This window comes from Homo sapiens, chromosome 1 (assembly GCF_000001405.40).
Source record: "Homo sapiens chromosome 1, GRCh38.p14 Primary Assembly".
NCBI classification, from domain to species: domain Eukaryota; kingdom Metazoa; phylum Chordata; class Mammalia; order Primates; family Hominidae; genus Homo; species Homo sapiens.
In genome coordinates this window covers 113,833,962-113,860,858 of record NC_000001.11, presented here as the reverse complement: position 1 = coordinate 113,860,858, position 26,897 = coordinate 113,833,962, and the positions used below count along the sequence as shown (strand labels likewise).

The following is a 26,897-nucleotide window of genomic DNA, read 5'->3' as shown; positions in this document are numbered from 1 at the left end:
AAATAAAACAAAAATAAATAAAAACAGTATAACAAGGAGTATGCACTGAGCTTAGTTCTGGAGACTCCTAGAAGAAACTGTTCTGGGACTTGAGATCTTTTCAGCAGCCCTGGGATCAACAGCAACCTGAAAATGATCATTCTGAAGTTGCTTAAGAGCAGGGAGATTTGAAAAATTGGTGTAACTTCAGCTGAAATTCAGCCTAGTCTTTCATGTGTCCTTAAATTCCCAAATTAGTCCACTTGTATCCATATCCATCTTGAAGTAAAAATATGCTATAAAGATAGTTCAGTAGCTTCTTGGGGTTCAAAGTTAAACAAACAAACAAACAAAAAGATATCAGTTCAGTATCTCTCCTCTCAAATCCAGTTCTGAAAATCCAGAGGAATTCAAACTACAGTAGGCTCTCTTTATATACGGAGGATGTGTTTGAAGACCTATAGTAGATGCCTGAAACTGCAGATAGTACCAAATCTTACGTACACTATGTTGTTTTTACCTATACATACATATCTATAATTAAGGTCAATTTATAAATTAGGCACAATAAGAGATTAGCAATAATAGCTAGTAATACAATAGAACAATTATGATAATCTACAGTAATAAAAGTTATGTGAGGCCAAGGAAGGTGCATTGCTTGAGCCCAGGAGTTTGAGACCAGCCTGGGCAACATGGTGAAATCCCTTCTCTACTGAAAATATGAGAACTATCCAGGTGTGATGCTTGTGCCTGTGGTCCCAGCTTTCAGGAGGTAAGGCTGAGGTGGGAGGTGAGGCTGAGGTGGAAGAATCACCTGAGCCCAGAAAGTTGAGGCTGCATTGAGCTGTGGTCAAGCCACTGCACTCCAGCCTGGGTGACAGAGTGAAACTTTATCTCAAAAAAAAAAAAAAAAAAAAGTGACTGCTTTTGGAACTGAAATCTTTGAAATTTTGCTAGATATAGAGAAATTTTATTCAGCTTAAGCTCCACTTCCACTTAGAAAAAAAAGCGATCTGAAGTAAAAAGACTAATAGAACTTAATTATTTTCCAGTTGACCATTTAACTAAAAAGCAGTTATAAAGAAAGTAAATTAAGCTTTTAATATCTGCCCATTGGGTGGAGCATATAGCTTGCTTCCAGAAGATATTTGGTTCTTAAAATATTCACAAGTTTCACTTTTAAGTTCACGCTATCTATGGCTCAGCTGCAGTAAGTGTGATCTTTTCACTTCCCCAAATGTCACTGAACTCAGGTCTCCTTATGCTCTGCAGCTCTGTCCTGAACGGAGTCAGAACCAGAAGATAATAAAAGGGTTGAGGTAGAATGTTTTGCCAGTGGAAAAGGAAAGCTCTTTAGAGATAGCTTCTTACCTCATTTCTCTAGGAAGATTAATTTTTCTTGGAATCTTATTACAGAAGCTGAAAAGGCAATCTACCAAGTACAAGGCAGACAAAACCTATCCTACAACTGTGGCTGAGAAGCCCAAGAATATCAAGAAAAACAGATATAAGGATATTTTGCCCTGTAAGTTCCATTTCTCTCTATAAACTCATACTTTCTCCCAAATTCAATCATTACTATCTCTTTGTACCCATTGCTTACTGATCCTGATCTTGGAACATGGCATTGACAACTTAGTTTGTACTATTTATGACTGCAAAAGAATATTCATTCATTCATTCATTCATTCACTCACTTGTTCACTCATGAGCATACACTATTCACAGTGTTAGGCCCTGATTTAAATCTGCTGACTAAGCCCTCTTAATTGTACTATGTCTGTCTTTTGTATTATAGATGATTATAGCCGGGTAGAACTATCCCTGATAACCTCTGATGAGGATTCCAGCTACATCAATGCCAACTTCATTAAGGTACAGTGAAAGAAAATAAAAGCATTCCATATTTCTCTAGATACCCAAAAAAAGGGGAGGGCTGGCTGGACTCAGTGGCTCATGCCTGTAATCCCAGCACTTTGGGAGGCTGAGGCGGAAAGATCACTTGAACGCAAGAATTTCAGACCAGCCTGGGCAACATATGAGACCCCATCTCAACAAAAAGTTAAAAAATTAGCCAGGTGTGGTGGCATGCGCTTGTAGTCCCAGCTACTGGAGAGGCTGAGGAAAGGGGATTGCCTGAAGCCAGGAGGTCAAGGCTGCAGTGAGCTGTGATTATGCCACTGCACTCCAGCCTGGGTAACACAGTGAGACCATCTCAAAAAAAAAAAAAAAAGGAAGCGGAGGACTAGGTGAGAACAGGGTATTATTTGTAGTCACCCCGTGTAATTTCTGTTCCCCTTTAGGGAGTTTATGGACCCAAGGCTTATATTGCCACCCAGGGTCCTTTATCTACAACCCTCCTGGACTTCTGGAGGATGATTTGGGAATATAGTGTCCTTGTAAGTATGGTGTTGCTTTTGTTACTTTATTCTCTACTTTATTAAAAACAGTGCTTTTAAAAAATTGGTCAGTGGAACTTCAGGGTTCAGGCATCTTTTAGTCAGAATCACAATGCCATTCTTGTCCAAGGAAATGAAAGTTCTCAGCCAGGTGTACTCTGGGAGGCCAAGAGGGGTGGATAGCTTGAGCCTAGGGGTTCTAGACCAGCCTGGGCAACATTGCAAAACCCTGTCTCTACAAAAAATACAAAAATTAGCTGGGAGTGGTGGTGTGTGCCTGTAGTCCCAGCTACTGGGGAAGCTGATATGGGAGAATCGCTTGAGCCCATGAGGTTGAGACTGCAGTAAGCTGAGATTGTGCCACAGCACTCCAGCCTGGGTGACAGAATGAGACCCTGTCTCAAAAATAAATAAGTTTTAAAAAATAATAAAAATAAATTTAAAAATGAGAAAGTTCTTACCTTGACAGGCTCATTTGGTAACAAGATTACTGGTCTGAACAGAGAAAGGGGAAGTATTGTCAGAATGAAGGAAGAGTAGCAGCAATATTTTATAAGTCACCAGGATTTATTTTTTGGTTAAAAAAAAACGACAAAACAGAAAAAAGAACGGTTAATACTTTCTGAGTCTGGGATCCATGTATTAACTGCTCTTTCTAACTATATATGAATGTTTAAGTTTCTATCTATTTCATCCCCCAGATCATTGTTATGGCATGCATGGAGTATGAAATGGGAAAGGTAAGTTACTTTCTAGTACCTGCTGACCTTAAAACAAAGGAAAGAAGAAAAAGGAGAGGGAAATTGGCAGCAGAACTTACCTGAGTGTACCTAGATAAAACTTATGTCATCTTCATAGTTTTCAGTTTGGGAATGCCACGTGATTCTCAGAGGATTTTTTTTTTCTCCTAAGAATCCTATTTGTTTGTTTTCTCAGTAGACCCTATGTTTTACAGTTAAAAACAAGGTATGCTTTTAAGATTAACAAATCACTTGCCCATTTCTATTAATTAGATATCTTTAACTGCCAGCCAGAGCTTTTAATCCTGTGCCGTCCAATATTGCATCCACCAGCCACATACAGCTATTGAGCATTTAAAATATGGCTAATGTGACTGGGGAACTCAATTATTTTAATTGATTTAAACTTAAAAACTGACATGCAATTCAGTTATCAGAAAGCTGTTTGAGTATGTGAAAATTTTTCAAATGTAAGTTTTATTAAATCTAAATGGAAATAAAATATTTCCAAAATTTGGCATCCTAATTGAGATTAGCTATAAATATAAAATATACACTGGATTTTGAAGACTTAGTAAAAAATGCCAAATATCTGATAATTATTTTATATTGGTTACATGTCAGAATGTTTTGATATATTGGGCTAAGATATGTTATTAAAATTAATTTCACCTCTTTTCATTTTTTAATATGTCTGTTTGAAAATTTAAAATTACATTTGTGGTTCACATTATATTTTTACTGGATATCACTGTTCTACTGTTGCCATTCTGAGTTGACAATTCTAATCAAAAGCAAGGGAACTAGGTATTTCACTTAGCTTGTGCAGCTGTTTTAGTAGACATATGATTTCTGTTAGTTCTTGTGAAATACTAAAAATAGGTCAAAGATTTCTATTTCTACTTTTTCAGACTCCCAGGAAGTCTGTAATTTATATATCCTTTAATGTTTGTTTTCCCATCTTTGGAGATTCCAATAATGTAGGGGTTGAAGCCCAAAGGGGTTAGACGCACCTAACCTAAGGTGAAGGACATAGAGCTGAATTTGCTTCCAAATGAGAGAGTGGAAAAGACTAGAATATATGGAGGGAAATCACTGTATTCTGCTTTGTGCAACAGAAAAAGTGTGAGCGCTACTGGGCTGAGCCAGGAGAGATGCAGCTGGAATTTGGCCCTTTCTCTGTATCCTGTGTAAGTGTAATGTCTGTTCTCATGTCTGAGTAAAGCCTCCAGGGTCTACCTTATAGAGAGCTTGTCTTTGCAATCACTAATACTTGAGTCTTCTTTTTCTTTTTAGGAAGCTGAAAAAAGGAAATCTGATTATATAATCAGGACTCTAAAAGTTAAGTTCAATAGTGTAAGTATAAAATAAGAATGATAAACTCAAAAGCCTATAGAGATCAGGCAAGTAAATATAGATGTGTGTAGCTCAGGCTGGGCATAAGACAATGGGAAGTGGTAGGGTCTTTGATGTCATGAATGAGTCTTCATATTCAAGAGAACTTTGAGCCTGGCCGACATGGCAAAAACCTGTCTCTACTAAAAACACACAAAAAATTAGCTGGGCGTGGTGGTGCATGCCTGTGGTTCCAGCTAGTCAAGAGGCTTAGGCAGGAGAAATCATTTAAGCCCTGGAGGTGGAGGTTGCAGTGAACCGAGATGGTGCCACTGTACTGCAGCCTGGGTGACAGAGCAAGACTGTGTCTCAAAGAAGAAGAAAAAAAGAAGAGACCATTGTTATAATATGTCTTCAATCTATTCTATACCATGGCACACATATAAAATGATAATATTTGTAGGGTGAACAGAAGCTGAACAGTGCATAGAGACTGGGGACCAGTTTGAGAGCTTAGGCTGCCCTAGGCCCTGCCCAGCTTCTCTAAGGCAAAAAGATTTAATATATCAGCATGATTGTGACACATTGGAGGCATACCAGTTGGGAAACACTGGTTTGAACTATTTTCATATCTAGCTATTTCCTCTTGTGAATGGGGCAGATGGGGACAAACCAATAGTAAGTGACCTGAAATCACTTTTAATGGTTTTCAGAAAGCATCTGGTCACCTGAGATCTATAGAGAAGAAACCGGAATAAATTTCAAAAAGGATATAGATACAACTTAGTATGCCGGACTGTTGTCTTGGTATAATGAGGTGGAGTTCTAACCACAAGTTGTCTTATTATCCTGGCTATTTTTAAAATAATTTCAACTTTTTTTTTTTTTTTTTTTTTTTTGAGACAGAGTCTCGCTCTGTCACCCAGTCTGGAGTGTGGAGTGTGCAGTGGTGCAATCTTGGCTTACTGCAACCTGAGCCTCCTGGGTCCAAGCAACTCTTGTGCCGTGGCCTCCCCAGTAGCTGGGACTACAGGTGCTCACCACCTTGCCTGGCTAACTTTTGTATTTTTAGTAGAGACAGGGTTTCCCCATGTTGGCCAGGTTGGTCTTGAACTCCTGACCTCAAGTAATCTGCCTGCTTCGGCCTCCCAAAGTGCTAGGATTACAGGCGTAAGCCACCACACCCAGCCTCAACTTTAATCTTATGAATATAAGACACAAGGGCGTAAATGTGCAGGTTTGTTGCATGCATGCCACTGAATAATCCCATCACCCAGGTAGTGAGCATAATACCCAATAGGTGGTTTTTCAGCCCTTGCCCCTCTTCCCCTCCCATCTGGCTACTTTTTATAGGAAACTCGAACTATCTACCAGTTTCATTACAAGAATTGGCCAGACCATGATGTACCTTCATCTATAGACCCTATTCTTGAGCTCATCTGGGATGTACGTTGTTACCAAGAGGATGACAGTGTTCCCATATGCATTCACTGCAGGTATGACACTATATATAAACCTTCTACCCAAAATGAACCAAATGTCAGAGTCTGGCCAGGACTGTGTAATTGAAAGGGGAAAAGGTTAATAGCAAAAACAAACGATAATAAATTCAACCTAAGCATTAAATTCATGTTTTTCTGATAAGTTACTTGTGAGTAGTACAGTTCTAGAGACTCTTGCTCTGAGATGTTGCCTAGGACCTCTTGCATGACAAATGGGCTCTGGGAAATGGTGGGGTTTGGAAAGTTTAATTGTCCCCAGGTATCTTCTTCCTCAAATCTGCTGGTGAAATTTTCCAGCTACTGTCAATGGTCCATTCTCTCTAGGTATACATGCATACATGCTACTGTGATCTTTCATTTCAGTGCTGGCTGTGGAAGGACTGGTGTTATTTGTGCTATTGATTATACATGGATGTTGCTAAAAGATGGGGTGAGTTTCTCTCAGCAGGCACTTCCCATTTGCTTAGTCTACTGCTTTCATACTTAGTAATTGTTTGGTTTTTCAAAACATCTATCTTCATGATTCATCTTTTCTAGAAAATGTACTTGTAGACCCACTCTGTCAGACGATTAAATTAGTTCCCAGGTAGGTGGGTCTTAAAGGGTGGTCCCCAGACAAGAAGCATCAGCATCACCTGAGAACTTGTTAGAAATGCAATATATATTGGGCTAAGATATGTTATTAAAATTAATTTCACCTCTTTTCGGTTTTGAATGTGTCTATTTGAAAATTTAGGCCGGGCACAGTGGCTCACGCCTGTAATCCCAGCACTTTGGGAGGCCGAGGGAGGTGGATCACGAGGTCAGGAGATCGAGACCATCTTGGCTAACATGGTGAAACCCTGTCTCTACTAAAAATACAAAAAAATTAGCCGGGCATGGTGGTGGACGCCTGTAGTCCCCACTACTCAGGAGGCTGAGGCGGGAGAATGGCTTGAACTGAGGAGGTGGAGCTTGCAGTGAGCCAAGATCGCGCCACTGCACTCCAGCTTAGGTGACAGAGCGAGACTCTGTCTCAAAAAAAAAAAAAAAAAAAAAAAAGCAAAAAAAAATTAGCCAGGCATGGTGGCATGTGCCTGTAATCCCAGCTACTCAGGAGGCTGAGGCAGGAGAATTGCTTGAACCCGGGAGGCGGAGGTTGCAGTGAGCTGAGATTGAGCCACTGTACTCCAGCCTGGGTGACAGAGAGAGACTCCGTCTCAAAAAAATAAAAATAAAAATAAAATACATAAAGGAAAAGAAAGAAATTTTTGGCCGGGCATGGTGGCTCACACGGTAATCCCAGCACTTTGGGAGGCCGAGGCAGGCTGATCACCTAAAGTTGGGAGTTCGAGACCAGCCTGACCAACATGGTGAAACCCTGTCTCTACTAAAAATACAAAATTAGCCAGGTGTGGTGGCGCATGCCTGTAATACCAGCTACTCGGGAGGCTGAGACAGGAGAATCACTTGAACCTGGGAGGTGGAGGTTGCAGTGAGCCAAGATCATGCCATTGTACTCCAGCTTGGGCAACAAAAGTGAAAGTCCTCAAAAAAAAAAAAAAAAAAGAAAGAAAAAGAAAATTTAAAATCACATATGTGGCTCACATTATATTTTACTGGATATCACTGTTCTACTGTTGCCATTCTGAGTTGACAATTCTAATCAAAACCAAGCAAACTTGGCTGGTTGCAGTGGCTCATGCCTGTAATCTCAGCACTTTGGGAGGCTGAGGTGGGCAGATCACCTGAGGTCGGGAGTTCAAGACCAGCCTGACCAACATGGAGAAACCCTGTCTCAACTAAAAATACAAAATTAGCCGGGCCTGGTGGCACATGCCTGTTATCCCAGCTACTCAGGAGGCTGAGGCAGGAGAATCGCTTGAACCCGGGAGACAGAGGCTGCAGTGAGCCGAGATCGCGCTGTTGCACTCCAGCCTGGGCAGCAAGAGTGAAAGTCCGTTTCAAAAACAAAACAAAACAAAAAGCAAAAATCAAAACCCAAGGAAACTAGATATTTCACTTAGCTTGTGCAGCTGTTTTAGTAGACATATGATTTCTGTTAGTTCTTGTGAAATACTGAAAATAGGTCAAATATTTCTATTTCTACTTTGTCAGACTCCCAGGAAGTCTGTAATTTATATGTCCTTTAATGTTTGTTTTCCAATCTTTGGAGATTCCAATAGTGTAGGGGTTGAACCCCAAGGGGGTTAGGTGCACCTAACCTAAGGTGAAGGCAAATTACTGGGCCCCACCCCATTGAATTGAATCATGTCTCTAGAGATGGGGGCCCAGCAAGCTGTCCAGGTGATTGTGATGCATGATGAAGTTTGAGGACCACTGTCCTAAATTATATAGTTACCCTTCCTTTATCCAAAGATGCTTTAATAGATGGACTCAACTTACTGCAATCATACTTTGCGTTCCAATCTATAAATCATTTTTTAATGTCTAATAGGAAATGGGAAGTTTAAAATATGGCCTTTAGACCTACCTACCAACCTCTTTTATTTTATGCAACTCTCATACTTGTGCATCTACTGAATCCTGTCCCTCGTTATATCTATAGTTTTAGACATTTGGTTATACCGTGTGAAATCATTCTGAAGAGTTTCTTTAGTCTTTTCTAGGGAAAATACCAGGCTCTAAATCATGTTGCAAGTGATAAGAAACCTCATTTGTTTTAAAAATGCATCATTTTTCTGATATTACCCCATGTTAGAAGAGCAGATGCCATGGAAGTACAAGACTATGAAAAAGTAGCAATAATTTATTAACAAAATATTGAAAGGAATATTTTCCCCTTTAATTTGATAGATAATTCCTGAGAACTTCAGTGTTTTCAGTTTGATCCGGGAAATGCGGACACAGAGGCCTTCATTAGTTCAAACGCAGGTATGAACTATAGTGAATGGATCAGAACATGTGTCTGAGTCTTGCTCCATCTGTTTAATGGTGAGGCATCCAAAAACAGCTGACTGCTCAGATATAACACCAATTTACCATTACGTGCTCTAGAGTCCATTGCCATTTTCTCTAACTCTGAATATCCCAATATTTTTCCTGTATCCCTTGTCCTGGGTCAAATTCCTTTCATTCCTTATTTTACTGTCTGTTCAGAAAATATTAAGATACCAATGTAATATTACTTACTTCCTTACAAAGGATGTTGTAAAAGTATTCAACAAACTGACTTGTGGACTTGAAATAGCTAGGTCATGTTAATTTGAAATTTTGTAGTGATAAAATTCATCTCTGAAAGCATAGAAAATCAGGGATTTGTAATTTCTACCCAGGATGTGGTAACAGAATATGGAGAATTCAGTCTATGTGCTCGTTTTAGGAAACACTGAAAAATAAAAATAAAAACCATATTCCTATTACCTACAGATAGCCACTATTACTATTTTTCTATAGTTTCTCCTGATTCTTATTGCATGCATACTTAAAAAAGAAAAAACATAATTGGGCCGGGCGCGGTGGCTGACACCTGTAATCCCAGCACTTTGGGAGGCCAAGGTGGGTGGATCACCTGAGGTCAGGAGTTTGAGACCAGCCTGACCAATATGCTGAAACCCTGTCTCTACTAAAAATAAAAAAATTAGCTGGATATGGTGGCAGGCACCTGCTAATCCCAGCTACTTGGGAGGCTGAGGCGGGAGAATTGCTTGAGCCTGCGAGGTGGAGGTTGCAGAGGGCCGAGATCACACGACTGCACTCCAGCCTGGGTAACAGAGTGAGACTCTGTCTCAAAAAAAAAAAAAATTACAATCACACTCTATTTATGTATCACAATCTTTTAACCTACCCCAGAATACCCATACTTGTTCACTCCATTAGGAATGCTCTTCCCTTCTCCTAGCCCAAATCTCTCACTGCCTACAATATTAATTTCACCCATATTTCTACACGAATAGTTTTACCCAATAGTTTTAGTTTTCTAAGTGGTCTCCATTTTTAATATAGAATTTAGAATTGACCCATTCATTCATGAAACGTGTATTGATGTTTATTAACAGGCACTTTTGTGTAATTTGTTAGAACTACTTTTAACTACTTAAATAGCAAGACCTTAAAGTGTTTAAAACACTTACAAATGAAGATGCAAATAGTTTTAGAGATAAAACAACTGACAATGGCAATTCAGATATTTAGTCTAGAAGTTGTGAATTAAAGGGATAAAATAAAGAGCTATTATAATATAAAACTGTTTGGCCTGCACAGATTTTCCACTAATAGCTGGTGGAAAAAAATAACTTTCATGTGTGCTGAGTGTAGGTGTTTTCTATATTCAACCTGTGAGGGAGAAAGCTTATGTGAAATGAAAGCATTAGCTGGTTTAATGCTGTCAGACTTGAAAGAAGGCTGATCCATGTAAATGCATAAAGATTCCAGAAGTATGGAACCTAGTTATATAAATAGCAATACTAATTTAATAAAACTATACCCCATTTCAAAAACGAATTTCATTTCAGGCCTACTTTTAAGAGTTGGAAGACGCTGAAAAAGCCTTCACATTTTGGCATTATCAAACAACTAACTGAACTTGACAGTTGTAGCTGTTTTTTCTGACACTACTGTAACCAGGAAATGGCACTGTAACCAGATGAGAGCTTCCTGTCTGATTTTTCTTTTTCTTCCTTTCTTTCCTTCCTTCCTTCCTTCCTTCCTTCCTTCCTTCCTTCCTTCCTTCCTTCCTTCCTTCCTTCCTTCCTTCCTTCTTTTGAGATGGAGTTTCACACTGTCACTCAGGCTGGAGTGCAATGGTGCGATCTTGGCTCACTGCAACTTCTGCCTGCCGGGTTCAAGCAAGTCTTCTGCCTCAGCCTCCCGAGTAGGTGGGACTCCAGGCACGCATCACCATGCCCAGCTAATTTTTTTTGTATTTTTAGTGGAGATGGGGTTTCACCATGCTGGCCAGGCTGGTCTTGAACTCCTGATTTCGTGATCTGCCTGCCTCGGCCTCCCAAAGTGCTGGGATTACAGGCGTGAGCCACCATGCCCAGCCCTGATTTTTCTTTCTTAAAGAAATTAGCCAGATGTGGTGGCTCACCCCTATAATCTCCGCACTTTGGGAGGCTGAGGCAGGTGGATCACTTGAGCTCAGGAGTTCAAAACCAGCCTGGGCAACATAGTGAGACCCTGTCTCTACAAAAAATACAAAAATTATCAGGGTGTAGTGGCAGGTGCCTGCAGTCCCGACTTACTTGGGAGACTGAGGTGGGAGCATCACTTGAGCCTGGGAGGTCGAGGCTGCAGTAAGCCGAGATTGCATCACTGCACTCCAGCCTGGGCAACACGGTGAGACCGTGTCTCAAAAAAAAAAATAAATAAATAAATAAATAAAGAGCATACTAATGGCTGTGTTGAATGATATAGACTCTGCATTGTTTCCTGCTAAAATTATCTTTGAAAAAAAATTGTTCTTTATTTGTACAGAAATGTGTAAAGTGTCAGGGAAAACCCTGAATAGGCCCTTTCAGGTAAAACCCTGATTAGGCCCTTTCAGATAAAAAGTAGGTTCAAAATTAAGTGCTTGAGAAAGTACAGGCAAAAACAGAGTAGTAATAACTCATAAACCTTGTAATAATAGAGGTCTCATTTCTCTATGGTGAAATCCTTTTGTAACCACAAATTTCAAAACCTTATTTAGTGGTTTACTTTTTTTTGGTATCTTTATTAGGACAAAATTTTAGCAACTTTATCTAAATGCACTGAACTAAGAGTGTGGAAATTAAGTTTCTAAGCCAAGCCCTGGAAATTCCTTCTGAATGACCTGGGATAAACTGTTTGTAAATAGGTATAAATAGCTTATCTACTTTATAGAGCAATTGTGAGGACCAAATTAAAGCATAGACATTGAAGTTATCTATCTATATACCAACCACTATCTCTTTTTCCAGAAAAGATGAAGGTTGCTTACAAAAAATCCATCTAGAATGAAATATTTTTTTTTTTAATGTGAGCAAGGGAAACAGAATTAGAGAAATGATGGTGGAGAGAAAGATAAGAAACTAGGTTTAGAACATAAAAGAAACAAGTCATAAGATTCCTGTACATTAGTTAGAGGTGTATCAAATATTTAGCTATTTTCAGCAGCATAAAAGTGCTTTGAAATCTGAAGTGAACTACGTAAGCATAAGGCATTGTTAGTAAGTTTAATAACATGCCGATCGTCCTTTTGGGTCTGCTATATTAGGATTTGATTGGTGTTCATATTCCTAAAATCTGGTCCTGTCGTTCACCAATTTTTTTGTTTTTGTTTTCATTTGTTCTGGGTTGTGATGCTCTTCAGGAACAATATGAACTGGTCTACAATGCTGTATTAGAACTATTTAAGAGACAGATGGATGTTATCAGAGATAAACATTCTGGAACAGAGGTAAAATTTAAACTAGATATTATGTCAAAAAAATTTTCATACTTGCTTTTGGTCAAGGGATGTCAGATTTGTTGCAGGATTTATCTATTGTCACAACTAAATTGAGAGCGTCAGGTGTGCATAGGGCTGCACTGAAAATTTCCTGTGGAAAATGACAAATTAATTTGATGTAATTTAACTTAAAAAATTAATCTCACTAAGTCCGGTGGCTCACACCTGTAATCCCAGCATTTTGGGAGCTCGAGGCAGGCAGATCACCTGAGGTCAGGAGTTCAAGACCAGCCTGGCCAACATGGTGAACCCCATCTCCAAAAAAAAAAAAATTTAGCCAGGAGTGGTGGGGCATACCTGTAGTCCCAGCTACTCCAGAGGCTGAGGCAGGAGGATTGCTTGAACCTGGGAGGTGGAGGTCGCAGTGAGCTGAAATGGCACCACAGCACTCCAGCCTGGGCAACAAAGTGAGACCCTGTCTCAAAGAGAAATAAAAATTTAAAAATAATCTCTTGGCTGGGCAAGGTGGTTCATGCCTGTAATCCCAGCACTTTGGAAGGCCAAGGTGGAAGGATTGTTCAAGCCTAGGAGTTTGAGAGCAGCCTCAGCAACATAGCAATTGTCTCTACAAAAAAATTTTTCCAAATGGCCGGGTGCAGTGGTTCACTCCTGTAATCCCAGCACTTTGGGAGGCCAAGGTGGGGTTTTGCCATATTGACCAGGCTGGTCTTGACCTGGGATCAGGAGTTCAAGACCAGCCTGGCCAACATGGTGAAACCCCATCTCTACTAAAAATACAAAAATTAACTGGGCATGGTGATGCGCACCTGTAATCCCAGCTACTCAGGAGGCTGAGGCATGAGAATCATTTGAACCCAGGAGGCGGAGGTTGCAGTGATCTGAGATTGCACCACTGCACTCCAGCCTAGGTGACAGAGCAACACTCTGTTAAAAAAAAAAAAAAGCCCCAGCAAAAAGAGAAGGCTTAACTAAGATTCAGAGTCTCATAACAATGTGAAAATACCCAGATTTCAGTTGAAAATCACTTATTATACCAAGAACCAGGAAGATCTCAAACTGAATTTAAATAAGGACAATAGGTGACAACACCGAGATGATACAGATGTCAGAATTATCTGACAAGGATTTTAAAGCAGCCAAGATAAAAATGCTTCAATGAGCAATTAAAAACATAGTTAAAACAACAACAACAAAACAATAAAAAGAATGAAAATATAAAAAAATAAAAAAGGTAAAAACATGCTTAAATCAAATTAAAAAATACAAAGCCTCATCAAAAAAAAAAAAAAAAGAGTCTCAGCAAAGAAACAAGATATAAAGAGAACCAAATGGAAATTTTAGAACTTAAAAATACAGTAACTGAAGCAAAATAGATGGGTTCAACAGCAGAATAGAGGGTACGGAAAAAAGAATTAATGAATTGAAAAGTAGAACAATAGAAATTGCCCAGTCTGAGCAACAGTGATAAAATAGACTGAAAAAAAAATAAACAGAGCTGCAGGGAACTAAGGGACCAAAAAAAAAAAAAAAAAAAATCTAGCATTGGGTCATCAAAATCCAGAAAGAAAATAGAAAGGGCAGGGCTGAAAAAGTACTGGAAGATACATCATAATTAAATTTCTGAAAACAAAAAACGACAAAAAAGTTTTAGAAATCAGCCAGAAAAAGATGACACCTTAACTGTAGGAGGAAAACAATTAGAATGACAGCAGATTTTGCATTAGGAATCATAGAGGTCAGAAGGAAGTGGCACAATATTTTCCAAGTGCTGAAAGAAAATAACTGTCAATCCAGAGTTTTACACCCAGTGAAAACATCCTTCAGGGCTGAAGGGGAAATCAAGACATTCTCAGATGAAGAAAAACTAAGATAATCTGTTACCAGTAGACCTACCCTAAAAAAATGGCAAAGGAAACTTTCTAAACCGAAAGGGAATGATGAAAGAAGGAAGAAAGAACATAATAAACAAAAGTGGGTAAATATAATAAACTTTCCTTCTCCTCTTGAGTTTTATAAATTATGTTTTACAATTGAAGCAAAAATATAACACTGACTGATGTTGTTCTAAATGTATTAAAGGAAATATTTTAAATGATTATAACAGGAGGATGGTAAGAAACATAAAGGAAGGTAAGGCTTCCACACTTGAACTGGTAAAATGATAACACCAGTAGAGTGTGATACCATATATCTGTATCTATATCTAGAGCCATGACTAAAAAAAGGCTATACAAAGAGATATAATAAAACACACTATAGGTAAATCAAAATGGAATTCTAAAAAATGCAGGAAAGAGAAAGCATCAGGAAAAAGAAAAGAGCAATGAGAAACAGAAAGAATAAAGAGAAAACAAAAAATAAAATAGCAGAATGAAACTTGACCATATTAATAATTACATTAAACATATAAGCCTAAATACACCAATATTTACTGGTGGTAGAGTGAATTGCCAGACTGGCATAGAGAATTAAAAAACAATTCAACTATATGTTGTCTATGAGAAACTCACTTCAAATATATAAGAGGGCTAAAAACAAAGGAATGGAAAAAAGTTATATCAGTAAACATGAATCAAAGGAAAGCAGGAGTGGCTATGTTAATATCAGATAAAGTAGACTTCAGAGCAAAGACAATTATCAGAGATAGGGAGATAATGATAAAAGGGTCAATCTGCCAGTAAGACATAATAGTCCTAAATGTATATAGACCAAACAATGAAATTGCAAAATATGTGAAGAAAAACTCATAGAACTTAAAGGAGAGAAACAGATGATTCACAGTCATAGCCAGAGACTTCAATATTCTTCTTTCAACAATTTTGATAGAACTAGACAGAAAACCAGCAAGGATATAGGTGAACTCAACACCACTAACTGACAAAATCTAGTTGACACTTACAGAACACTCTACCTAATAAGAATACACATTCTTTTAAAGTGCTTATGGAAAATATATATCAAGATAGAGTATATCCTGAGCCATAAAAATCTGAAAAATTTGAAAAATTTTTTTAAATTGAAATTAGCCTGGGAGCAGTGGCTCACACCTGTAATCCCAGCACTTTGGGAGGCCAAGACAGACGGATCACATGAGGTCAGGAATTTGAGACCAGCCTGGTCAGCCTGGCCAAACCCCATCTCTACTAAATATACAAAAATTAGCCAGGTGTGGTGGTGGGCACCTGTAATCCCAGTTACGTGGGAGGCTGAGGAAGGAGAATCACTTGAACCCGAACCTGGTAGGCGGAGGTTGCAGTGAGCTGAGATAGCATCACTGCACTCCAGCCTGGCCAACAAAGCGAGACTCTGTCTCAAAAAAAAAAAAAACAAAAACAAAAACAAAACAACCAAAATTATACAGAATATATTTTCTAACCACAATAGAATCAAATTAGAAATCAGTAACAGAGACCGGGCATGGTGGCTCTTGCCTGTAATCCTAGCACTTTGAGAGGCCAAGGTGGGAGGATTCCTTGAGGCCAGGAGTTCAAAATGATCCTGGGTAACACAGGGGGACCCCCGTCTCTACAAAAATTAAAAACTCAGCCAGGTGTGATGGCATGTGCCTGTAGTCCCAGCTACTCAGGGGGCTGAGGTGGGAGGATTGCTTGAGCCTGGGAGGTCAAGGCTGCAGTCAACTGTGATTGTGCCACTGCACTCCAACCTGGGTGACAGAGCAAGACCCTGTCTCAAAAATTAATTAACTAATTAAAAAAAGAAAAAAATCAGTAACAGAAAGGTAACGGAAAAGTATCCAAATCCTTGGAAATCAAACCACACTTTTCTAAATAATCTATTGGGTCAAAGAGAAAGTCTCAAAGGAAATAAAGAAACACACTGAATTAAACAAAAATGAAAATACAACATACCAAAATTTATGAGACAGAAGCAATAGCAGTACTGAGAGGGAACTTTATAGCACTAAGTGCATCCATTAGAAAACAGTATAGGTCTCAATAATCTAAGCTGTCACTCCAAGAATATAGAAAAAGAAATAAAGAGCAGAAATCAATGAAATTGGAAACAATAATAGAGAAAAATCAGAATTGGTTTTTTGTTTGTTTTTGTTTTTTTGAGACAGAGTTTCACTCTATCACCCAGGCTGGAGTGCAGTGGCATGATCTTGGCTCACTGCAACTTCCACCTCCCAGGTTCAAGCGATTCTCCTGCCTTAGCCTCCCAAATAGCTGGGACTACAGGTATGTGCCACCATGGCCAGCTAATTTTTCTATTTTTGTAGAGATGGGGTTTTGCCATGTTGGCCAGGCTGGTCTTGAACTCCTGACTATCTGCTTGCCTCGGCCTCCCAAAGTGCTGGGATTACAGGCGTGAGCCAAGGCATCCAGCCTGGTTTTTTTAAAAGATAAAAAAAAATCGTTCTTTAACAAGATCAATGAAATTGACAAACCTTTTTAAAAACTGACACAGATAAAAAGGGAGAAAATGAAAATTACCAATATCAGGAATGAAATAGGAGCTATGTTGTCCAGGCTGGTCTTGAACTCCTGGGCTCAAGGGATTTTCCTGCCTTGGCCCCCCAAAGTGCTAGGATTACAGGCGTGAGTCACCACACCCGGCCCAGAATGGATTATTTTCTCAAACACAATCTACCACAATTTACTCAGCATGACATAGATAATTTGAGTAGCCCCTTAGTGATTAGAAAAATTGAATTTGTAATTTTAAAACTCCCAAAAAAGAAATCTCAGGCCCACATAGTTTCACTAGAGAATTCTATCAAATGGTTAAGGAAGAATTAACACCAATTTTATACAGTCTATACTAGGAAATAGAAAAGGAAGAGATACTTTCCAATTAATATTTTTATTGTGGTATAATATATCATTTTAATTTACTATTTTAGCCATTTTTAAGTGTACAATGTAGTGTCATTAAGTATATTCACAATGTTGAGTGACTATCACTATTTCTGGAACTTTCATTATTCTAAACAGACCCTCTGTATCCATTAAACAATAACTCCCTATTCTCCCCTCCCACTGGCCCCTGGCAACCATCCTTCTACTTTCTGTCTCTATGAATTTGACTACTGTAGGTACCTGATATGGGTGGAATCATATAGTATTTGTCCTTTTGTGTCTGGCTTATTTCACTTAGCGTAATGTCCTCAAGGTTCATCCATGTTGTAACGTGTCACAATTTTCTTACTCATTAAGGCTGAATAATATTCCATTGTATATGTTTATACACACACACACCACACACACACACACACACACATTTTGTTTATCCATTCATCCATCAATGGATACTTGAGTTCCTTCCACTTTTTGGCTGCTGTAATGCTGTGATGACCATGGGTATACAAATATATATTTGTATCCCTGCTTTTAATTACTTTGGGTATAACCCAGAAGTGGAATTACATGTGGTAATTCTATGTTTAGTTTTCTTTTTTTTTTTTTTTGAGACGGAGTCTCGCTCTGTCGCCCAGGCTGGAGTGCAGTGGCGGGATCTCGGCTCACTGCAAGCTCCGCCTCCCGGGTTCACGCCATTCTCCTGCCTCAGCCTCCCAAGTAGCTAGGACTACAGGCGCCCGCCACTACGCCCGGCTATTTTTTGTAGTTTTAGTAGAGACGGGGTTTCACCGTTTTAGCCGGGATGGTCTCGATCTCCTGACCTCGTGATCCGCCCGCCTCGGCCTCCCAAAGTGCTGGGATTACAGGCGTGAGCCACCGCGCCCGGCCGTTTAGTTTTCTTTTAGAACAGCCATACTCTTTTCCATAGCAGCTGTGCCATTTTACATTCCCACCAACAGTACACAAGGATTCCAATTTCTCTACATCCTGGCCAACACTTTTTATTTTCTGTTTTTTGTTTATTTGTTTGTCTTTTGAGCACAGTCTCGCTCTGTTGCCAGGCTGGAGTGCAGTGGCGCAATCTTGGCTCAATGCAACCTCTGCCTCCCGGGTTCAAGCGATTCTCCTGCCTCAGCCTCCCAAGTAGCTGGGATTACAGGCACATGCCACCACGCCCAGATAATTTTTGTATTTTTAGTAGAGATGGGGTTTCACCATGTTAGCCAGGATGGTCTCAATCTCTTGACTTCGTGATCCGCCGGCCTCGGCCTCCCAAAGTGCTGGGATTACAGGCGTGAGCCACCACGCCTGGCCTATTTTGTTTTTTTGATGGCAGCCATCCTAATTAGGTGTGAAGTGGTATCTCATTGTGATTTTGATTTATATTTTCCTAATGATTAGACACCTTTCTGTGGTCTTATTGGCCATTTGTATATCCTCTTTGGAAAAATGTCTCTTCAAGTCCTTTGCCTTCTCCCACCCACCCCTACTTTTTTTTTAGTCAGGGTCTTGCTCTGTCATTCAGGCTGGAGTCCAGTGGCACCATCATGGCTCACTGAAGCCTCAAACTCTTGGGCCTTAAGTGATCCTCCCACCTCAGCTCCTGAGTAGCTGAAACTATAGGTATGCACTACCACACCAAGCTAATTTTTTTTTAATTTTTTTTTTAGAGACAGGGTCTCATTATGTTGCCCAGGCTAGTCTTGAACTCCTGGCCTCAAGGAGTCCTCCCATCTCAAACTCCCCAGTAGCTGAGACTAAAAGCATGAGCCATGGTGCCCAGATTTTGCTCATTTTTTAATTGAGGCTGTATGCGGTGGCTCACGCCTGTAATCCCAGCACTTTGGGAGGCCGAGGCGGGCAGATCACTTGAGGTCAGGAGTTTGAGATCAGCCTGGCCAACATGGTGAAATCCCGTCTCTCCTACAAAGACAAAAATTAGCCGGGTGTGGTGGCGTGTGCCTGTAATCCCAGGTACTTGGGAGGCTAATGCAGGAGAATTGCTGGACCCCAGGAGGCAGAGGCTGCAGTGAGCCGAGATCGCACCACTGCACTCTAGCCTGGGTGACAGAGTAAGACTCTGTCCCCCTCCACCAAAAAAAAAAAAAAAAGAGTTGTTTACATGTTGTTGAGTTTTAGGAGTTCTCTATGTATTCTGGATATTGATCCCTTATCAGATATGTGATTTGCAAATACCGTCTTCCATTCAGTCAATGGGTTGCCTTTTTGCCTTTGTGTCCTTTGGTGTGTAAAAGTCTTAATCTCAATGAAGTCCAATTTTCCTATTATTCTTTTGTTGTTTGTGCCTTTGGTGTCCTATCCAAGAAATCGTTGCCAAATCCAATGTCATGAAGCTTGCCCATTTTCTTATAAGAGTTTTACATTTTACTTCTTATGTTTAGGTATTTGATCAATTTTTGAGTTAATTTCTGTATCATAAGATAAGGGTCCAACTTCATTCTCTCTCTTTTTTTTTTTCCTTTGAGATGGAGTTTCGTTCTTGCTGCCCAGGGTGGAGTGCAATGGCGTGATCTTGGCTCACTGGAACCTCCACCTCCCTGGTTCAAGTGATTCTCCGGCCTCAGCCTCTTGAGTAGCTGGGATTACAGGCATGCGCCACCATGCCTGGCTAATTTTGTATTTTTAGTAGAGACGGGGTTTCTCCATGTTGGTCAGGCTGGTCTCAAACTCCTGACCTCAGGTGATCCACCCGCCTCAGCCTCCCAAAGTGCTGGGATTACAGGCATGAGCCACCGCACCCAGCCTCAACTTCATTCTTTTGCATGTGTATATTCAGTTTTTCCCAGAATCATTTATTGAAAACACTCTCCTTTCTCCATTGAATTTTCTTGGCACTTTTGTCAAAAATCAATTGCCCACCATATGTAAATGTTTTTTTCAAAGCTCTTCTATTCCATTGGTCTTTAGTCTATACTATGTCAGTACCACACTGTTTTAATTACTGTAGCTCTGTTGCAATTTTTGAAATCAGGTAGTGTGTCATTCAACTTTGCTCTTCTTTTTCAAGATTGTTTTGACTGTTCAGTGCCCCTTGAAATTCCATGAATTTTAGTCTGTTTTTTAAACAAATTATGTAAAAATGCCATTGGGTTTTTGATAAGAATTGCATTGCACTTGTAGATCACTTTGAATGTCTATTTATTTATATCTTATTTAATTTCTTTCAGCAAAGCTTTGTAGTTTTCAGTATACAAGTCTTTTGCCTCCTTGGTTAAATCTATTCCTAAGTATTTTATTCTTTTTGATGCCATTATAAATATAACTGTTTCCTTAATGTTCTTTTCAGATTGTTCATTGCTAATGTATAGAAATGCAACTCGTTTTATGTGTTCATTTTACATCCTGCAACTTTGAATTTGTTTATTAGCTCTAGCAGATTTTTTGTGGAATCCCATATATAAAATCATGTCATCTGAGACTAGAGATAATTTTACTTCCTTTTTTTCCAATTTTTTTTTTTTTTTTGAGATGGAATTAAGTTAGGGTCTTATTCTGTCGCCCAGGCTGGAATGCAGTGGTACGATCTCGGCTCACTTCAACCTCCGCCTCCTGGGCTCAAGCAAGTCTCCTGCTTCAGCCTCCCGAATAGGTGGGATTACAGGTGTGCACCACATGCCCGGCTAATTTTTATATTTTTAATAGAGACGGGCTTTCACCATGTTGGCCAGGCTGGTTTCAAACTCCTGACCTCAAGGGATCCACTCACCTTGGCCTCCCAAAGTGCTGGGATTACAGGCGTGAGCCACTGTGCGCAGCCTTTTTTTCCAATTTGAATGCTTTTTTTTTTCTTGCCTAAGAACAAAATTAATTAAAAAAATTACTTTGGCTAGAACTTTAGTACTATGTTGAATAGAAGTGGTAAAAGTTGGCATTCTTGTCTTGTTTTTGATCTTAGGGGAAAGTTTAAGTCTTTCATGTATGAATATGATGTTAGTTATGGGTTTTCATATATGGCCTCTATCATGTTGAGAACATTTCCTTATATTCCTATTTTGTTAAGTGATTTTAACATGAATTTTGTCAAACGCTTTTTCTGCATCAACTGAGATGTTCAAAATGGATTTTAACATCTCTGAAATGAAGATATATTTTATAATCAATTATATTTTAAGATTCTATGAACCACAATAACATATTTCATAATATGATAATTGCTATAAAAAATAAGGATTGGGAAGCTGAGGTGAGAGGAGGACTTGAACCCAGGAGGTCAACACCGCAGTGAGCCATGTTTGTGCCACTGCACTCCAGCCTGGGTAACAGAATAAGACCCTAACTTAATTCAAAAAAAAAAAAAAAGATTGAGGCCAGGCACTGTGGTACACACCTGTAGTGTCCCAGCTACTTGGGAGGCTGAGGTAGGAGGACTGCTTGAGCCCAGAAGTTTGAGGCCAGACTGGGCAATACAGCGAGGCCCTGTCTCTTAAAAAAGAAGAAGATTGAGCATGGCTGGACAGGGGAAGAAATGTGATTTTAGGTTGGGTGGTCAGGGAAGGTTTCCTTATGCAGATGACAGTTAAGCAGAGATCTAATTACTTAGAAGGAGCCAGCCATGCAAAATTTGGAGCAAAAATATATTAATCAGGGGGAATAGTAAGTGTAAAAGCCTTGACTTGGAAATAAGTTTGGCATGCTAAAGTAATGGCAAGAAAACCAGTATACCTAGAGCATAGTGAGGAGGAAAAGAGTAGAACAAGATGAAATAGGTCCAGAGACCTAATAAGTACCTGTAAAGGGCTGAGATGCTGAAATTTCTAAAGGCAGAGTGTTTTTGAGACTAAAGTTACCCACCAAAGAACATTTTTAAAACTCCCACATTTGAAAAGATGATGATATACACAAATCCTTTCTAGTTTCTATAATACTATTAATCCTTTATTCTGGCCATCTCAGTATATGAACGAGTTCTTGCTGAGTTCAATATTTTGGAAGCTAATCTAACTCTTTCATGAATTATTTTAAATCTTTTTATTTCCTGAAAAATTACTTTTCAGCCTTCTAAATATTAAAATATCTTATTGACATTGCTTCACTGAAAACCAGCCTCTGACTTATTTCTTTTAAAGAGTCAAGCAAAGCATTGTATTCCTGAGAAAAATCACACTCTCCAAGCAGACTCTTATTCTCCTAATTTACCAAAAAGGTGAGTACAATTTTATATATCTAAATGTTGACTAATTGTGTCTGGGAGATGAATCTCATGCTTATACATCATTGTGATGCTAGGAAGCGGCCTGTTTGGGGTATGGTGTCATCATTACGCTTTCTTTTTGTTTTAGTACCACAAAAGCAGCAAAAATGATGAACCAACAAAGGACAAAAATGGAAATCAAAGAATCTTCTTCCTTTGACTTTAGGACTTCTGAAATAAGTGCAAAAGAAGAGCTAGTTTTGCACCCTGCTAAATCAAGCACTTCTTTTGACTTTCTGGAGCTAAATTACAGTTTTGACAAAAATGCTGACACAACCATGAAATGGCAGACAAAGGCATTTCCAATAGTTGGGGAGCCTCTTCAGAAGCATCAAAGTTTGGATTTGGGCTCTCTTTTGTTTGAGGGATGTTCTAATTCTAAACCTGTAAATGCAGCAGGAAGATATTTTAATTCAAAGGTGCCAATAACACGGACCAAATCAACTCCTTTTGAATTGATACAGCAGAGAGAAACCAAGGAGGTGGACAGCAAGGAAAACTTTTCTTATTTGGAATCTCAACCACATGATTCTTGTTTTGTAGAGATGCAGGCTCAAAAAGTAATGCATGTTTCTTCAGCAGAACTGAATTATTCACTGCCATATGACTCTAAACACCAAATACGTAATGCCTCTAATGTAAAGCACCATGACTCTAGTGCTCTTGGTGTATATTCTTACATACCTTTAGTGGAAAATCCTTATTTTTCATCATGGCCTCCAAGTGGTACCAGTTCTAAGATGTCTCTTGATTTACCTGAGAAGCAAGATGGAACTGTTTTTCCTTCTTCTCTGTTGCCAACATCCTCTACATCCCTCTTCTCTTATTACAATTCACATGATTCTTTATCACTGAATTCTCCAACCAATATTTCCTCACTATTGAACCAGGAGTCAGCTGTACTAGGTAAGTTATTTTTTAAAGTTTGCATAGAATTTTAGATTTCATTTTGTTTCTATAGAATAGTTGGTTTCTTCTCCTCTTCCCTCTTCTCCTCTGCTTCTTCTCTTTCTTTCTTTTTTCTCTTTTTTTTCTTTTTTTTTTTTGAGATGGAGTCTCGCTCTGTCACCCAGGCTGGAGTGCAGTGGTGCAATCTTGGCTCAATGCAACTTCCGCCTCCAGAGTTCAAGCAATTCTCCTGCCTCAGCCTCCTGAGTAGCTGGGATTACAGGCGCGCGCCACCACGCCCGGCTAATTTTTGTATTTTTAGCAGAGATGGAGTTTCACCATGTTGGCCAGGATGGTCTTGATCTCTTGACTTCGTGATCTGCCTGCCTCGGCCTCCCAAAGTGCTGAGATTACAGGCATGAGCCACCACGCCTAGCCTGCTTCCTTCTCTTTCTTCTTCCTGCTACTCCTCAAATAAATACATTCCAGGAGTGTTTTAATGCTGTAATAAGTTGAAAATAGCAACATCAAACATAATATTCCATGAAACAGGCAACAATGGAGGCAATCAAGATCTGGTACAGGATCTGTACCAGCAGGAGTGCTTCTAAAGAAGGCACGCCTCATTTCTAGAAATGTATATCAAAGGCTCACAATATACTGTTTTTTAAAAATATTTTTTGAAACAGAATCTCACTATGTTGCCCATGCTGGAGTGCAGTGGTGTGGACATTGCTCATTGCAGCCTTGATGTCCTGGGCTCAACCAATCCTCCCACCTCAGCCTCCCAAGTAGCTGGGACCACAGGGACACGCCACCATGCCTGGCTAATTTTTTTTTTTTTTAGAAATGGGGTCTTGCTATGTTGCCCAGCCTGGTCTTGAAAATCTGGCCTCAAGCAATCCTCCCACCTTGGCCTCCCAAAGTGCTGGGATTACAGGTGCAAGCCACCACACCTAGCTTCAGAATTTACTCTTAACATATAGAAGCAGCTTCCAAAGGAAGAGCAGAAAAAAATTTGATCAATAGCACCCAGATTTTTTGTTGCACAATTATGTGGCTAAAATGAGTTGAACATATTGCTAAAAATTGAATTATCTTCCTGCAGGATTTGGAAGGGGAGAACCTGATTTCTTGCTCTTTTGTAGTAATCTCGTAGATGACAATACATGTTTAGTATTTTGTGTAAAAATTTTATCATATGTATACCTTTACTTTCATGTTTTGTCTCTTTTATAATTCTGTATTTTTGCATATAATGCATATTGTTCTGTTTTACTGATTAGTTTGAAAGTAGAAATGAGCACCCTGTTAGAGATGATGACAATAATTTGATGTGGAAGATGATGAGGGAAAGCAATGAACAAGTTTAACTCCCTTAGGTATATCATCAAATAATTTGTAAAGCACATTCTACATAGATAGGAGGTGGAGAAAACTTTTGCTCTATAACATTATTTATTGTAGAGTTTCTTAATAAATAGTTGTGTAGATCATTTGTAGCTTTGTTGCAAAAATATCTTATCTGGATCTAAGATGTTCCTTCTGTGATTAGATTATTTTATACATTTTTAAACATTTAAATGTATTTTCTTTTCTTATACCTTAAACTTCTCTGAGCATCTGCATCATTAAAAAACAGAGCGAGACTCCGTCTCAAAAAAAAATTAATTAATAAAAACATACCCTTATTTTCAGGGATTGTAACAATATCGTCATGTGCCATCTGGTGGCAGTTTCTTGTAATACCATTTAAAATGTTTAATAAAAACTGAATGTTTGTATAGAAATACAGAAGACTATCCTATACTGTTGTTTTGTAAAATGGAAAAATACCCATATTCTTGAATTTTGTATAGAATGAAGAGATACTGAAATCTTTATGATTTTACCTAATGTATAACTGAACCTTTTACACGTCAAAGCACTTTATAATGTTTTATTATATAGTCTATGTAAAACAAAAGGAGTTATGTAAAAGTTAATTCAAAGCTTCCAAAATTAATATAATATTTTATGTTAACTGATACACCGTGACTCAATCAAAATGTTTTTGAGCTTTTATTTATTTATTATTATTATTATTTTTTGAGACGGAGTGTCCTGCTGCCACCCAGGCTGGAATGCAGTGGTGCAATCTCGGCTCACTGCAAGCTCTGCCTTCCGGGTTCACGCCATTCTCCCACCTCAGCCTCCCGAGTAGCTGGGACTACAGGGGCCCGCCACCACGCCCGGCTAATGTTTTGTGTTTTTAGTAGAGACACGGTTTCACCACGTTAGCCAGGATGGTTTCGATCTCCTGACCTTGTGATCTGCCCGCCTCGGCCTCCGAAAGTGCTGGGATTACAGGCGTGAGCCACCGCGCCCAGCCCTACTTTTGAGCTTTTAAAACAATAAATGTTAAAGAATAAGCAAAAACCTCCTGGGTTTGTACCTTAAGAGAATTTATTTTGCTTTTTCCTTGAATGAACAAGTGTCAACTTTACTGATAATGTTGCTTCAACGGAATTTAAATATAAATTATGGTAAATTTATATTTAATATTAGAATATAAGAATTTCCTTTGGATTGTTCTAATTAACAATTGTTACAATATTTTTGACATTTTGGATAGCAACTGCTCCAAGGATAGATGATGAAATCCCCCCTCCACTTCCTGTATGGACACCTGAATCATTTATTGTGGTTGAGGAAGCTGGTGAGTACAGTTCAGTAAGTATAAAATAAAGTGTGGGATGGGCATGGTGGCTCATGCCTTTAATTCCAGCACTTTGGGAAGCTGATGTGTGAGCCTTGAGTTTGAGGAGTTCATTGAGGCCAGGAGTTCAAGACTAGCCTGCGCAACATAGTGAGACCTCATCTCTAATTTTTTTTTTTTAATTTAGCAGAGCAATAGCAGCATGCATGTGTAGTCCCAACTATTTGGATGGTGGAGGTGAGAGGATCACTTGAGCCCAGGAGTTGGGGGCTGCAGTAAGCCATGATTGTGCCACTGCACTCCAGTCTGGGTGACAGAGCAAGACCCTGTCTCAAAAAATAAAATGAAGTGTGAATTAACTAGATTACTTCTCAGGTCCTTTCAATGTTTTATGTATTATTTGCTGAGCAACATTTGATGTCTAAAAGAATACTATTCTTAAGAACCGAACTATATTCACTTTCTTCCAGGAGAATTCTCACCAAATGTTCCCAAATCCTTATCCTCAGCTGTGAAGGTAAAAATTGGAACATCACTGGAATGGGGTGGAACATCTGAACCAAAGAAATTTGATGACTCTGTGATACTTAGACCAAGCAAGGTCAATAATTTTTTAATGACTCTACTCATTTAGATTCAATAGACTACAGTTCTACTCCTTGTATTTTTAACACCCATCATTCAATAAATCCTAAGCACATACTAAATATAGAACAATGTGCTAGAGGATGTTGGGATAAAAAGGATGTATAAGACACAATTCTTGCCTGTAAGAAGCTTCTTGTCTAGTAGTAGAGATATAGGATGTGTACAAATCTTTATTTTTGCCTATATTTATTATAACAAAGCAAATGTGATCAATGTCATATGAAAGATAAAGAATTTCAAGTGTAGGAGATGCCTCCAGGTTGGAAGTGATCAAGGAAGATTTAGTGAAAGAGGAAACAT

At 39.1% G+C, this 26,897-nt stretch overlaps 1 protein-coding gene and 1 long non-coding RNA gene across 15 annotated transcripts in view; one reads left to right on the top strand and one right to left on the bottom strand.

Annotated features, from left to right (window-relative positions):
* Positions 1 to 26,897, bottom strand: part of AP4B1-AS1 (AP4B1 antisense RNA 1) — an 88,626-nt gene that overhangs the window by 40,379 nt on the left and 21,350 nt on the right. The window contains exons 1-3 of one of the 2 annotated variants that reach the window (NR_037864.1): positions 4,135 to 4,224; positions 3,202 to 3,323; positions 2,843 to 2,876 (exon numbers count right to left, since the gene is read on the bottom strand). The exons of the other annotated variant lie outside the window; for it this stretch is intronic. This is a non-coding gene — a long non-coding RNA (AP4B1 antisense RNA 1). Of the gene's footprint in view, positions 1 to 2,842; positions 2,877 to 3,201; positions 3,324 to 4,134; positions 4,225 to 26,897 lie in introns of those variants that run through there. 2 annotated transcript variants of the gene reach the window in all.
* Positions 1 to 26,897, top strand: part of PTPN22 (protein tyrosine phosphatase non-receptor type 22) — a 57,949-nt gene that overhangs the window by 10,901 nt on the left and 20,151 nt on the right. For 4 of the 13 annotated variants that reach the window (XM_011541222.2, NM_015967.8, XM_017001005.3 and 1 more), the window contains exons 2-15: positions 1,399 to 1,507; positions 1,781 to 1,857; positions 2,286 to 2,381; positions 3,083 to 3,121; positions 4,240 to 4,311; positions 4,418 to 4,477; positions 5,810 to 5,952; positions 6,322 to 6,388; positions 8,755 to 8,832; positions 12,233 to 12,319; positions 22,239 to 22,315; positions 22,452 to 23,269; positions 25,866 to 25,949; positions 26,420 to 26,550. In XM_011541222.2, coding sequence (XP_011539524.1) covers positions 1,399 to 1,507; positions 1,781 to 1,857; positions 2,286 to 2,381; positions 3,083 to 3,121; positions 4,240 to 4,311; positions 4,418 to 4,477; positions 5,810 to 5,952; positions 6,322 to 6,388; positions 8,755 to 8,832; positions 12,233 to 12,319; positions 22,239 to 22,315; positions 22,452 to 23,269; positions 25,866 to 25,949; positions 26,420 to 26,550 — 1,938 coding nt within the window. Of the gene's footprint in view, positions 1 to 1,398; positions 1,508 to 1,780; positions 1,858 to 2,285; positions 2,382 to 3,082; positions 3,122 to 4,239; positions 4,312 to 4,417; positions 4,478 to 5,809; positions 5,953 to 6,321; positions 6,389 to 8,754; positions 8,833 to 12,232; positions 12,320 to 22,215; positions 22,316 to 22,451; positions 23,270 to 25,865; positions 25,950 to 26,419; positions 26,551 to 26,897 lie in introns of those variants that run through there. The other 9 variants (XM_011541225.3, NM_001308297.2, NM_001193431.3 and 6 more) reach the window with 8 other exon arrangements.